Genomic DNA, 12,085 nt, shown 5'->3' with positions numbered 1-12,085 from the left:
TAGAAGGAAACAGAATTCCCTCCCTTCCTGTTCCAGAGAGGCTGGCCTGCAAACTTCACTGATGAGGGGCCAGATTGGGACATCCCACACTAGCTGTTTTGTGGATTTTGGCTGACAGGAGCAGAGAGGAAGCATGTTTCTTTGATCTTTTACCTCTTGCATCCTTTCTGGTATGACCCTGGGAGACTGGTTTATCTGGCTGTCTAGTTCAAATTCCAGATTACACTCTGTCAATGGGCTTTCTCCTCTCTGGGGATGCTATTCATCCTTCCAAGGATCCAGACACTAGCCACCAAAGCTTCTCTGCTGGGTTCACACACATACCAGGTCTAAGGTATGATGTGATCTCCTGGGTATATGATGGTTTTTGTGCTGCTTCTTTTTTCTTTCAGAGTCTGAGAAGCCAACTGGGGCCAAACAAGTTTTAGAACCTCTACTGGCTGATGCCAACATCATCAGAGATGAACTGTTCTTACCAGAAACTTCTCTGCTCCTGACACCCCACCTCTCCCCAGGTAGCTAAAGGGATAATGAGATTATTACCCCCTGAACACTATGTATGGGGGTGACATACCAGGGGACACTCAGTTCCAATTGCAATATCATAGGCACAATATTAGAAGAATATTTGGACACTTTGATAGCCAAAGAAAGGCATTTGGAAGATTAATAGGGGGCTTCACTGCAATAGGTCTTTCCTTTGCTTAAATCATGAATTTTTTATTAAATTTTACACAAATACATTTTTTCATCTATTCATACGATCTTTTTCCTGTTAATCTATAAATATGGTAGAGTACACTTATTTACAATCCAATTTTTAAAAATAAATGCAATAACATCTCTTACTTAAAATTAAGCCATATCATAATGTGATATGAATTAGAATTTTATTGACTTCAAATTTAATACCGCTAAAAGATAACTCTGCCATCATTCTTATTAACTTAAAACCAAAATTTGATTGCAAGATTCTTTAAATAAAGTAACCTTCAAAATTCCCTGTTTTACCTCACCAACACAATTTTTAAATTGTGGTAAAATACATATAACAAAATTCGTCATCTTAAATTACTTTTAAGTGTATAGTTCAGTGGCATTAAGTATATTTACATTATTGTGCAACCATCACCATCATCCTTCCCCAGAACTCTTTTCATCTTGCAAAACAGAAACTTTGTACCCTGTACCCTGTTCAATAATTATCTTTTCCCTGCTCCTGTTCCTGACAACCGCTACTTTCTGTCTCTATGAATATGACCACTGTTGGTGCTTCATACATGTGGAATCATATAATACCTGTCCTTTTTGACTGGCTTATTTCACTTAGCCTAATGTCCTCAAGTTTAATCCATGCTTATGCCTTCCTTTTTAAGGCTGTGCGTAATATTGCATTGTATGTGTAGACAACATTTTATTTATTCATCCATCTGTGGATGGACATTTGGGTTACTTCCACCTTTTGGCTATTGTGAATAATGCAGCTCTGAACATTGGTGTACAAATTCTGTTCAAGTCTCTGCTTTAAAATCCTTTCAGTATATACCCAGAGGTGGAATGGCTGGGTCATACAATAATTCTATTTAAACATTTTTTAAGGAATAGTCATCCTATTTTCCACAGTGGCTGCACAATTTTACCTTCCCATCAACAGTGCACAAGGGTTCCAATACTTATTTTCTGATTTTTGATAGTAGTCATCCTAACGGGTATGAGATGATATTTCATTGTGGTTTTGATTTTGATTTCATTAATGCTTGGTTATGTGGAGCATCTTTTCATGTGCCTATTGACTACTTGTATATCTTTGGAGAAATATTGCTTCAAGTCTGTTGCCCATTTTTAAATTGAGCTCTTTGTTTTTAGTTGTTGAGTTGTAGGAGTTCTGATATTAGGAATTAGGATAGGTAGCAGTCTGGATATTAACCCTTTATCAGATATATTATTTGCAAATATTTTCTCCCATTTTGTGGGTTGCCTTTTTACTCTGTTGTGCCCTGTGATGCACAGAAGTTTTTAATTTTCATAGAGTCCTTTTCTTTTTTTTTACTTTTGTTGCCTGTGCTTTTGGTGTCATATCCAAGAAATCATTGTCAAATCCAATGTCATGAATCTTTACCCCTGTTTTCTTCTAACAGTCTTCTAAAATTTTTAGCTGTTACATTTAGGTCTTTGACACATTTTGAGTTAATTTTTTATATAGTGTAAGGTAAGGGTCCAACTTCATCCTTTTGCACGTGGACATCCAGTTTTTCCAACACCGTTTGCTGAAAAGGCAGTCTTTTCCCATTGAATGGTCTTGGCACCCTTGCAAAAATAATTTGAACATATATATATGTAAGGGTTTATTTTTGGATGTTCTATTCTATTCCATTAAGCTACATGTCTGTTTTTATATGCTAGGCCTACACTGTTTTGATTACTATAGATTTATAATAAGTTTTGAAATCAGGAAGAGTGAGATGTCTAACTTTGTTAATTTTCAAGATTGTTTTGACTGTTTGGGGTCCCCTGAGATTCCATATGAATTTCAGTATGGATTTTTTTATTTCTGCAAAAACATCATTGAGATTTTGGGACTGCCATAAAACTTCTGAATTCTTTCTTATAGGAAACATTTGCCAGACAGATGAAGAGAAGGGGGGCATTTAGGCAACAGGAAGAGTGTGACCAAAAGCATGAAGAGGTGAAAGAGCTTGCTCTACTTGGGGGAACTAAAAGTAATCTAGTATTGTTGAAGCTCTAAGCATTCTTATTATCTGTGTGTATATGTGTGTGACTGTCAGCTTGGATAGGAGATACATTAGGAGGTAAGGCAGAGGTCAGATATTGTGAAAGTGGATGTGTATTGTGTTAAGAGGTCAATGGAAATTCATTAGAGTTGGGTTGTGGAGTGATGTGATCATATTTGTACTATAGAAAAATGACCCTGTTAATAAGAATGGGTGCTATATTGAGAAGGAAGGAGGTATCATCAGAAAGACCAGGTAGGAGATTGTTGCAAAACTCCCAGAAATAAAATGATAAGACTTGCAATCTGGTAACATTAGTGGAGACAGGAAGGAGGGAATGGTTTTGAAATACACATGGCTCACTACAAACTCAGACATATTCCAGTAGCTTCACTCTTTTCCTGGGTCTTGAAGTCCTCAGATCTGTAGAACAGCCTCTGAACTCAGTTTGATGGCTCTCACCATTCACGTGTATCATCCAGTTGCCACCTTTTAGGAACACAAATGACTGTTGAAAGAGGCGCTGTGTTCTGGCTCAGCGGCTCAAGGGTCCCTTAACAGCAGCCAGTCTCTTTTCAAAGTCCCTGGAGCTCCCACTCCTTCTCCTGTCACTCTCAGAGCCTCTGGCCGCTCCAAGGACTTTATGGTTGTTTCTTTGTGCCTGTGAGTTGGTTGGTGTTTTCTTGTTTTGGTCTTTCCTGAAGCCTGCTGAAATCTACCAGCCAGAGAGTGTTCTGTTATAGCCCATTCTATTTACCTCACGGAACTGCCGCTCTCCAGGCCTTCTAATTGTGGCCCATGTTACTCATATCTGTGACCCACTGAGATCCCAGGTTCATTCTCCAAGCCTTGACACCCTTCTACACTCTGTGACTCAATTGCCTGCCTTGAGTTCATAGCAGCATCGAATGAGCTGTTCATGAGCAGTTCATAGCAGCATCGAATTGGGTCTCTGCCACCTCTCTCCCACTTCGTGCCCAGGAGCTCTCTGTAAAGCCTTTGCTGAGTAACTGGGCAATGCTAATGCCAGGCTTGTGCTGCAGCAGCTGGGGAGAGGATGTGCTCCTCCAGCCAGAGGCTGGAGCACTGAGATCCCAAGTCCCTGTTCTGATCCCTGGTGGGATGGTTCTATGGATGGGCAGTCTGGGCCATGTGTGTGTTCTACTGGCCCATCACAGTCACAGGTGGAGTCATGGAGCTAGAGGCAGGGAGCAGCTCGAGCTCTCAAATTCCTGTAGATATTTTAGAATGAGAACTGCTTTGGCAGTTCTGGGATAGCCAGCTCTGAACCACTGCCAAAGGCACACATTTAGTGACCTGAGGGATGAGGCAAACTGATCAAGGTACACAAGTGTCATCAGTGCAGGCTCCCGGGAAAGCACAGCAGGAGAGGAGAGGGCTGTGGCTTGTAGTTAAAACGCAGTGATGAATGTGACGATGATTTGAACCCGATGGGCTGTGCCTCAAAGGTGAACCAGGGAGAATCAAATAAAGAGTTCCAGAAGTGGTAAGGGGGAATTGTTTACTGGGAATTAGGAAGATACAGGGCAGAGAAAGGAGAAAGGTCAGGAAAATCAGGGATGTAAGGAGTTTCTACTTCCTTGAAAGCCAGGAAGCTCGCTTGAACAAAGAGCACAAGACCCCAAATCTTTGTGGCCCCACTGGCTGGGAGAGCTCGCTGGTCTTTCTTTAGGAGCCTGGCTAGTTTTTGCAAGCATAGTTTTCACAAGCAATTGAAGGATAATTTCCTTAGCTCTATAGTGAAGCTATACCCCCAAAAAAGTGGGGCTGGCCAGAGAGGGTCTGTAGTTTCCAAAGCCCCAAAGGACACCTGCAAATCAGCTGTTGCAAAAATATGTCTTTAGGAGTCCAGGCTACCTGGAACATGGCCTCAGGACAGCAGAATGTTTCTTATCACTCACTTTATGTTCCCAAACAGAAGAGAAGAAGGAGAGTGGCCACGTTGATTCAGCCAAGCACCTCCAGGAGGTCCCCTCTGGATGTCCCATGAGGCTGCCCCTCAGCCACAGCCCAGAGCACGTGGAGATGGCTTTGCTCAGCAACATCCTAGCGGCCTATTCCTTTGTCTCAGGTAGGTGCCTGGTTTCCACTGGGCCAGGACTGAGGTCTGGGGCTGGGTCCAAGGTTGTCTCCTGGGTGGCCATCTCTGGCCTTATTCTCAGTAAAGACACACTACGTAATCAAAGCTACTGCTCTGCTTTGCTGAGCTTTGAGATGAAAGGTCTCCAGGTTGGGAGTTAAGCTTGTCATTCTCTAATTTGAAAAATGAAGGGTTCTAAGAGCTTTGTCTTGCAGAAAATGTTTAGCTGCTCAAGTGAGTGATTGAAGTGGCCCAGGGCTACTGTTGGCTTCTGTCACTATGCATTAACTCTGACCAAGGAGGGGGCTGATGGAGTACCTCAGCCTGGTTATTCTATGCAGTTAACCTCACACAGGCTGCCTGTGTGTGAGACTGTGTGTGTGGGAGAGAGAGTATATGTTTATATGTTCTGTGTTTGGGGCCTTTCTGAGGTATTTGACGAAGCTGTAGATGAGATGAAGACAGAAGGCATGCGGAGTATGGAAGAGTCTGATATTTGTCCCTTCGTTGGTTCAAAGTTGCACTCTTTAGTAAGATGGCTGATTTTCTCCTCAAGATCATTTCTTGAAAACAGATGTTGTTCATATAAAAGGAGTCATTTAAAAATACATGAAAATGCTCACTGGTTTGAATGACTAAACTGTTCCTCTGTTGCTTGAATGAGTTTTTAATTTCTTGATACTTTTCTTTTGTTTTTGTTTTGTTTTGTTTTGCCTGATGTCTCTGGATATATTGTATAAAAAGGAAGGGACTAGGGTTTCAATTGGATTTCCTTTGGGCGAGGACTAGTTTTACTTTCTAATTCTCTAGGCAGGGTTGACACATGGTGGTCTAAGAGTTGAAATGCAAACCTGACATTATGATTTACAGTGGCAATTCTGAGCCAAGTGGAGGGTTCCATGAGCCAAGGAAGTTCATGGCTTCTCTTTGTAAGAGGATCTTGGATGACGCGCAACCTGATTTCAGAAAAAAAAAGGACTGCTCAGGGTCTTGTTCTGGGCAAGCTGCAGCATGTAGTCTGCTTGTGCCTCAGGTCCAGGGCTCTGCCTTCTTAGATCAGTGAAGGCCTAGGTCACCAGTCAGCTCCTCTTCCCCGTTAAGGAAGTCCAGGGCCTCCTTCTCCAGGCACTCACCCATTAGAGGAATCTCATCTTTGCTCTTGCTTCAAGGCAACATTGGAGAGAAAGGACACAAGAGCTGGAAGAGAGGTTTGAAATTCAGACATCGTTTTCACAAGCAATTGAAGCATAATTTCCTTAGCTCTGTAGTGAAGCTATCCCCCAAATGAAGTGGGGCTGGCAGAGAGGGTCTGTAGTTTCCAAAGACCCAAAGGATACCTGTGAATCAGCTGTCACAAAAATATGTCTCGCATGAGAGCAAACAGCACTGCACTTCGGATCTCTGATCAGCACAGGAGGTACCTGGCAATTTTCCATTTCAGTCAACATGACCCTGAATTGTGACCACTGAAAGTGGTAACTCATTGAATAGTCCTGTGTTTACCATGTGTCTTGTGATCTTGTCAAGGCTGAAAAGTACATGGCCCTGTTTTTCTCTCCCCTCCAAACTTCCTCCTTCCTGCCCCATACTCATGAATTAAATACTACTTGGGATGCAGGAAGACAATGCTTCTTTAAGTAAGTACGGGCTGAGATAAAAAGAAAACACAAGGAAATGGAAAAGCAGTGTGGCTAAAATAAAATTTGGATGCAGTGTGTAGACTCAGTGACTGAAAATCTATTCTGAAATGGGGAACACTCCCTGATTATAAGTGAAATTAATAAAGAAAATTTCAAATATGTATTTAAATATTCAAGATACAAATAACCATTGTTTTTAGTGAAGAAAATCAAATAAATGGATTGGAAGCAATGATGAAAAGTATGATGGAAGAAAATTGTGGAAAATGTCCTAATCTTGTAGCTGTCTCATGTCCTCATTCTGCTCTATCAGATCTTCAACCCCGCAGGGCCCCTGGCCCCTCGTATTTTCTCCCAGTGCATCTGTTGCCTCCTCTCCTATCCACGTGGTCCCTTATTTCAGCAACACATTTGCTAATACACATAACTGCCTTATTCTTTTGTGTAGCTTCTGAGTAAACCAGTAGGTGAAACCCCAACTCTGAGTAAATCCTGCTCACTTTCTTGTGTGTGTGTGTGTGTTCTTTGTTAGGGGGGTGTCTAAGGTGCTTGGTAACCTTGTGGGAGAGATGGAGACAGAAGAAGGCACGTGAGTTGGGAGAGTCTATATTCGCCCTTTTTTTACTTCAAAGTTGTACTCTTTAGGAAGACGGCTGACTTTCTTCTCAAGATCATTTATTGGAAACAGATACGGTTTATATAAAAGGAGGCATTTAAAATTACATGAAAATGCTCAATGGTTTGAATGACCAAACTGCTCCTCTGCTGGTTGAGTTTTAAAATATTTGATATTTTGTTTTTGTTTTGCCTGATGGTCTCTGGATTTTATGTAAAAAGAAGGGGACTAAGGTTCTGATTGGATTTCTCTTTGGGCAAGGACTGGTTTTACTTTCCAGTTCTAATCTAGCCAGGGTTCATATTAGATGACTTAAGAAAAGTGACCCTTTCTCACTCTGTACAAGTTATCAAACACCAGTATAATTTGCCATTTGAAGCCACTAGAAATTCATAGTCTCCAATCTCAGCTGAGCTTTTCACATCATACCTTAATCTCCCTGTTTACTTCTGGACACATCTTGTGCCCATTCTTCACAACAAACATTTCAAACCTTGACCATTCCAATAATTGTAAATATCTGCTTACCACAATGGGCCCTACAAGTAAATGACAAGTGTCAAACTAGGGGAAAATGAAACATTAATGAAGAAGAGTTAAAGTTTATAACAAATAAAGAGCTTTTATAAATCAATAAAAGTGTCCCAAAAGGAAAGTGGACAAAAAACAAGAATCAACAGTTTGCAAAAGAAGAAATACAAATTATCAATAAAACATAAACAGCTCAAATTCTGGCAGAAAAATGCAAAATGGAAACTGCAATGCGATTAACATTTTTATTTTATACATTTCTCAAAGACTTGACTGATTAAGTATGTAATTTTGGTCTTGGAGAAAGTCTGGGGAGATGAGTACTTACACATCGTGCTGATGGAATTGTGAATTGCTACAACCTCTCTAAAAAATAATTTGACAATATCCATCAAAGCCCTTAAAAACACATACGCTAGCCAGAAATCCCACTTCTGGAAATGTCTCCTAAGGAAAGAATTAGGGATATAGGCAGAAATTTTACTGTGAGGATGATTGATCTCAGAATTATTTATAATACATGTAGTAAAATATTAGGGAAAATTTGTATTAATTGAAATAGATGTTTATGACATGCTACTAGGTAAATAAAGCCTGTTGCCACACACCATATATATTATAATCCCATTTATATATGTATATTCATATGTATAGGTAACCACATTTTTGTAGGTGAAGGTATATGTATTTTTAATTTTCTTTTGCTTAACTGTATTTTTAATAACAATTCATTGATATTACTTCATAAGAAATGTTATTTTATTAAAATATTATATTTTGAATTATACCATACATATAGTAGACAATTATCACACCTCTGTCTTTCCTAACTTCCTGAGCTTCTTATCTAAGTGTCCTGAAAATAACTATTTGGTTGTGCTATAAGCATTTCAAATTCACTCCAGCCTAGAATAGAATATTGTCCTTCTCTTTAAATATGCTCTTTCTTTTATATACCCATCTAGGGCATCACCTAATCCAGAAATAGGATTTTTAACCTTTGATGCATCTTCTTCACTGCCCATATCCAACTGGTTTGGGTCGATTCATTTTGCCTCTTAAAATGTATGGCGTCCACTTTAGTCCCACCATCATTGATTGACTGGCTCCAAGCCCCATCATGTTTTCGCCTGCCTTATCATAATGGTATTTGCTGTGGTCTTGCCTCCATGATCTTGTTTCACAGTCTATATTTTGTAGCAAAATGATGTTTCCAAAATTCGGATGTGATGATGCAATTCTTTTTATTTTTTAGCATCCCTTAGTGGATTCTCATTATCTCTGGGATAAAATCCAAACAATTTTGTGTGGTTTAAGAGTCAGGATTGTTTTCAACTGCAAAAAATGAAAACCTCAACTTGGTGGCCTAAACACATAGACGTTATCTTACCCACATAGTAAGAAGTCTGGAGGTAGGTGGTTGCTAACATTGGCTCATTAGCACAAACATGTAGAGGCCTGTCTTTTTCTTTCTCTGTCTGGCTTATTTTACTCAGTGTAATATATTCCAGCTTTATCCATGTTGTCACAAGTGGCAGTATCTCCTTCTTTGTTAAGGCCGAATAATATTTCATTTTGTAAATATACCACAGTTTTTAAAATCTATTCATCCATTGATGGACACTTTGGTTGTCTGCATTTCTTGACTATTATGAATAGGGCTACAATGAGTATGGAGTGCAGATATCTCTAAAGATACTGATTTCACTTCCTATGGGTATATACCCAGTCAGAGACAGAAATAAAAATACTGTATGATCTCACTTACACATAAAACCTAAAAAAAATGTTGAATACATAGAAACAGACAGTAGAATAGTAGTTATCGGGCAAGGAGGAAGATATGAGAAGTATGTCCAAAGATACAAACTTGCAGTTTTCTGGGATGAATAAGTCTAGAGTTCTAATGTATAGCATGAGGATGACAGTTAAAAATATTTTATAGTATACTGAAAATTTGCTAAGACAGTAGATTTTAGGTGCTTTTACCACACAAAAAATAAAAAGAAGGTGATGAACATGTTTATGCACTTGACTGGAGTAATCATTTAACAAAGCATATGTGTAGAAAAACATCAGGTTGTACACCTTAAATATATACAATAAAAAATGTAGGGGCCAATATCTCTGTGATTCTCAAAGCCTTTTTTCTGTGTTTGTCATCTCATGGCTGCCAAATGGCTGCTGTTGTTCAGGCTGATTCAAGATCAAAAAAGGCAGAAAATGGAAGGAGGTTCCAGTAGATCTCCTCTCAGATTTCATTGGCCAGGACTGTGTCACATGGTCATTTCTAGCTGCAAGGGAGGCTGGAAAAATGAGAATTTTAGCTTTTTCAATCTTTAGATCAGTAGTTCATATCAGGTGTGATTTTGCTCTGCAAGGGGACTTCTGGCAATGTCTGGAGGTATTTTGGGGTGTCACAGCTTAGAAGTGCAGGCTGCTACTGGCATCTAATGGGTGGAGAAGCATCCTACAATGCACAGGACAATCTCCTGCAACAAAGAATTATTGGGGCCAAGACATCAATAGTTCTGAGGTTGAGAAAGCATGCCCTAGAGCAGAGGCAGGCAAGGAAGAAAGGACTTGATGATGGTTTGAGGCATCCCACTCTGAAGGTCCTTCTGTGGCTTACCAGAGCTTTTAATGTCTGACCTTTACTACTCCATGCTTTTATTTAGTCACTACCCTCTCTGACCAAGACCTCTGCTCCAGTTATTCTAAACCACTTGCCAGGTTTTTTCTTACCTCATTGCTTTTGCACACTCTTTTCCTTTTCCAAGAATTCTCCCTTTTAGTCCTGGACTGGCTGACTCCCTCCCAGTCTGCAGAACTCTCTTAGGGTCATCTCTCCTCAATCTACCCCACCTCGAATCAATGGGCTTAGGCACCCACCCACACTCTCCCACATATGTTTTATTTCCCTGTATATTAGCACTTGGATTGGAGGACTTAAGATTTCTTTTTTAATTGTTTGTAAGGAACTCATTGGGACCAGAATATGATAGTTTATAATGAAGATAATATCATTAATAATACTGACCTCATTAATAACTCCTAACAAGGTTGTTAGAAAGAGTAAATGGAATGATTACTCATTTTAATTTAATGATTTGAATATTTAGCATATTTGCCTGGCTCACTCTTCTATTTCCTTTAAGTTTTTTTTTTCTCAAAAGTCACCTTTGGGTACCCCATAAATATGTGTAGCTTCTATGTACCCATAAAATTTTAAAATAAACAAATAAATCACCTTCTCCTTAAATTTTGCTCATCACTCTCCACTTCTCCCCAAAACACACATTCAGCATTTCATATCCTTCTTCCTATTTTTCCCATTCTTTCCTCCTTATCACCTTACCATCATCCACCATACTATATATTTTATTTATTTGTTTAGTATCATCTCCCCTGCTGGAACTCCTAGGAGAAGAGAGATTTTTGTTTCTTTTGTTGACTGCTATATCCTGCGCATGTAGAATAGTGCCTGGCACCCATCAGATGCTCAGTTAATCAGTGAATGAATATGGCTCAATAACCAAATAATTATAAAAAGACATGTAGCAAGGAGTCTTACCCAAGAGCTGCTTCCTCCATCCAGTTCCCAAACTTGACCCATCATCAGGCTCTTATGCATCCTTCCAGAGTTCTTTATGCAGATATTAAGAAAATACAAGGGTATAGTTTTCTCCTCCTCCATTTCATGCACAGGTAGCACACCATGCATACTGTTTTGCCCTTCACGTTTTTCACTGAATAATATATTATGGAGATATTTTAGATCAGCATGTGGAGACCTTTCTCATTCTTTTAGACAACTATGTATTATTCCATTATATAGATAGACATCCATAGTTTAACCGGTTCTTTACTTATGTCCAGTGAAAATGGTTTAAATCTTTCCAAACTGAGCAACAAACAGAGCTGCAATAAATAACTATGACATGTATGTTCAAGTGCTGTTGTAGAGTAAGTGCCCCAAAGAAGAACTGTGGGAACAAAGTATGTGTAAATTATCAACTGAGAAAAATATTAATAACTTATCTTTTAAATAATTTTACCAATTTACTCCTAAAAGATATATGAGAAGCCCCTGCAGCAGTGTTTTCAAACTTTTGAACTTTGACAATCTGATAGATGAAGAACGATATCTAAGTGCTATTTAATTTCTGCTTCTCTAGATCAGAGGTCAGGAAGCTTTTTCTTTAAAGGGTGAGACAGTAAATATTTTCAGGTTTGTGAGCCAGTCTCTGCTGTAACAACTCAACTTTGCATTGTAGCACGAGAGCAGACATAGACAATGCACAAATGAATGGGCAAAATTGTGTTCCATAAAATTTTATTTACAAAAACATATGGCTGGGCAGACTTGGCTTGTGAGCCATAGTGTGCCAGTCCCCATTTTTCATATGTTGAAGAGCCATTTGTATTTCTTTTTCTGTGAACTGTCCATATGTCTTGTTCATTT

At 39.3% G+C, this 12,085-nt stretch overlaps 1 protein-coding gene across 4 annotated transcripts in view, besides 1 other annotated feature; it reads left to right on the top strand.

The window, feature by feature from the left end:
- The window catches only part of EVA1A (eva-1 homolog A, regulator of programmed cell death), a 77,402-nt gene that overhangs the window by 46,840 nt on the left and 18,477 nt on the right, over positions 1 to 12,085 (top strand). For all 4 annotated transcript variants that reach the window (NM_032181.3, NM_001369524.1, NM_001135032.2 and 1 more), the window contains 2 exons: positions 393 to 515; positions 4,672 to 4,824. In NM_032181.3, the coding sequence (NP_115557.1) occupies positions 4,740 to 4,824 (85 nt within the window). In that variant the 5' untranslated portion in view covers positions 393 to 515; positions 4,672 to 4,739. The remainder of the gene's footprint in view (positions 1 to 392; positions 516 to 4,671; positions 4,825 to 12,085) is intronic.
- Positions 6,229 to 6,318: a silencer, noted in NCBI's record as "silent region_11681". NCBI's record gives its function as "represses an Ori minimal core promoter by ATAC-STARR-seq in GM12878 lymphoblastoid cells {active_cell/tissue: GM12878}" and the evidence as "EXISTENCE:reporter gene assay evidence [ECO:0000049][PMID:35858748]".

The sequence above is a fragment of the Homo sapiens genome, chromosome 2 (genome assembly GCF_000001405.40).
Source record: "Homo sapiens chromosome 2, GRCh38.p14 Primary Assembly".
Lineage (NCBI taxonomy): Eukaryota > Metazoa > Chordata > Mammalia > Primates > Hominidae > Homo > Homo sapiens.
The sequence above is the reverse complement of the archived record's forward strand: the minus strand, read 5'-3'. Positions and strand labels throughout refer to the sequence as shown.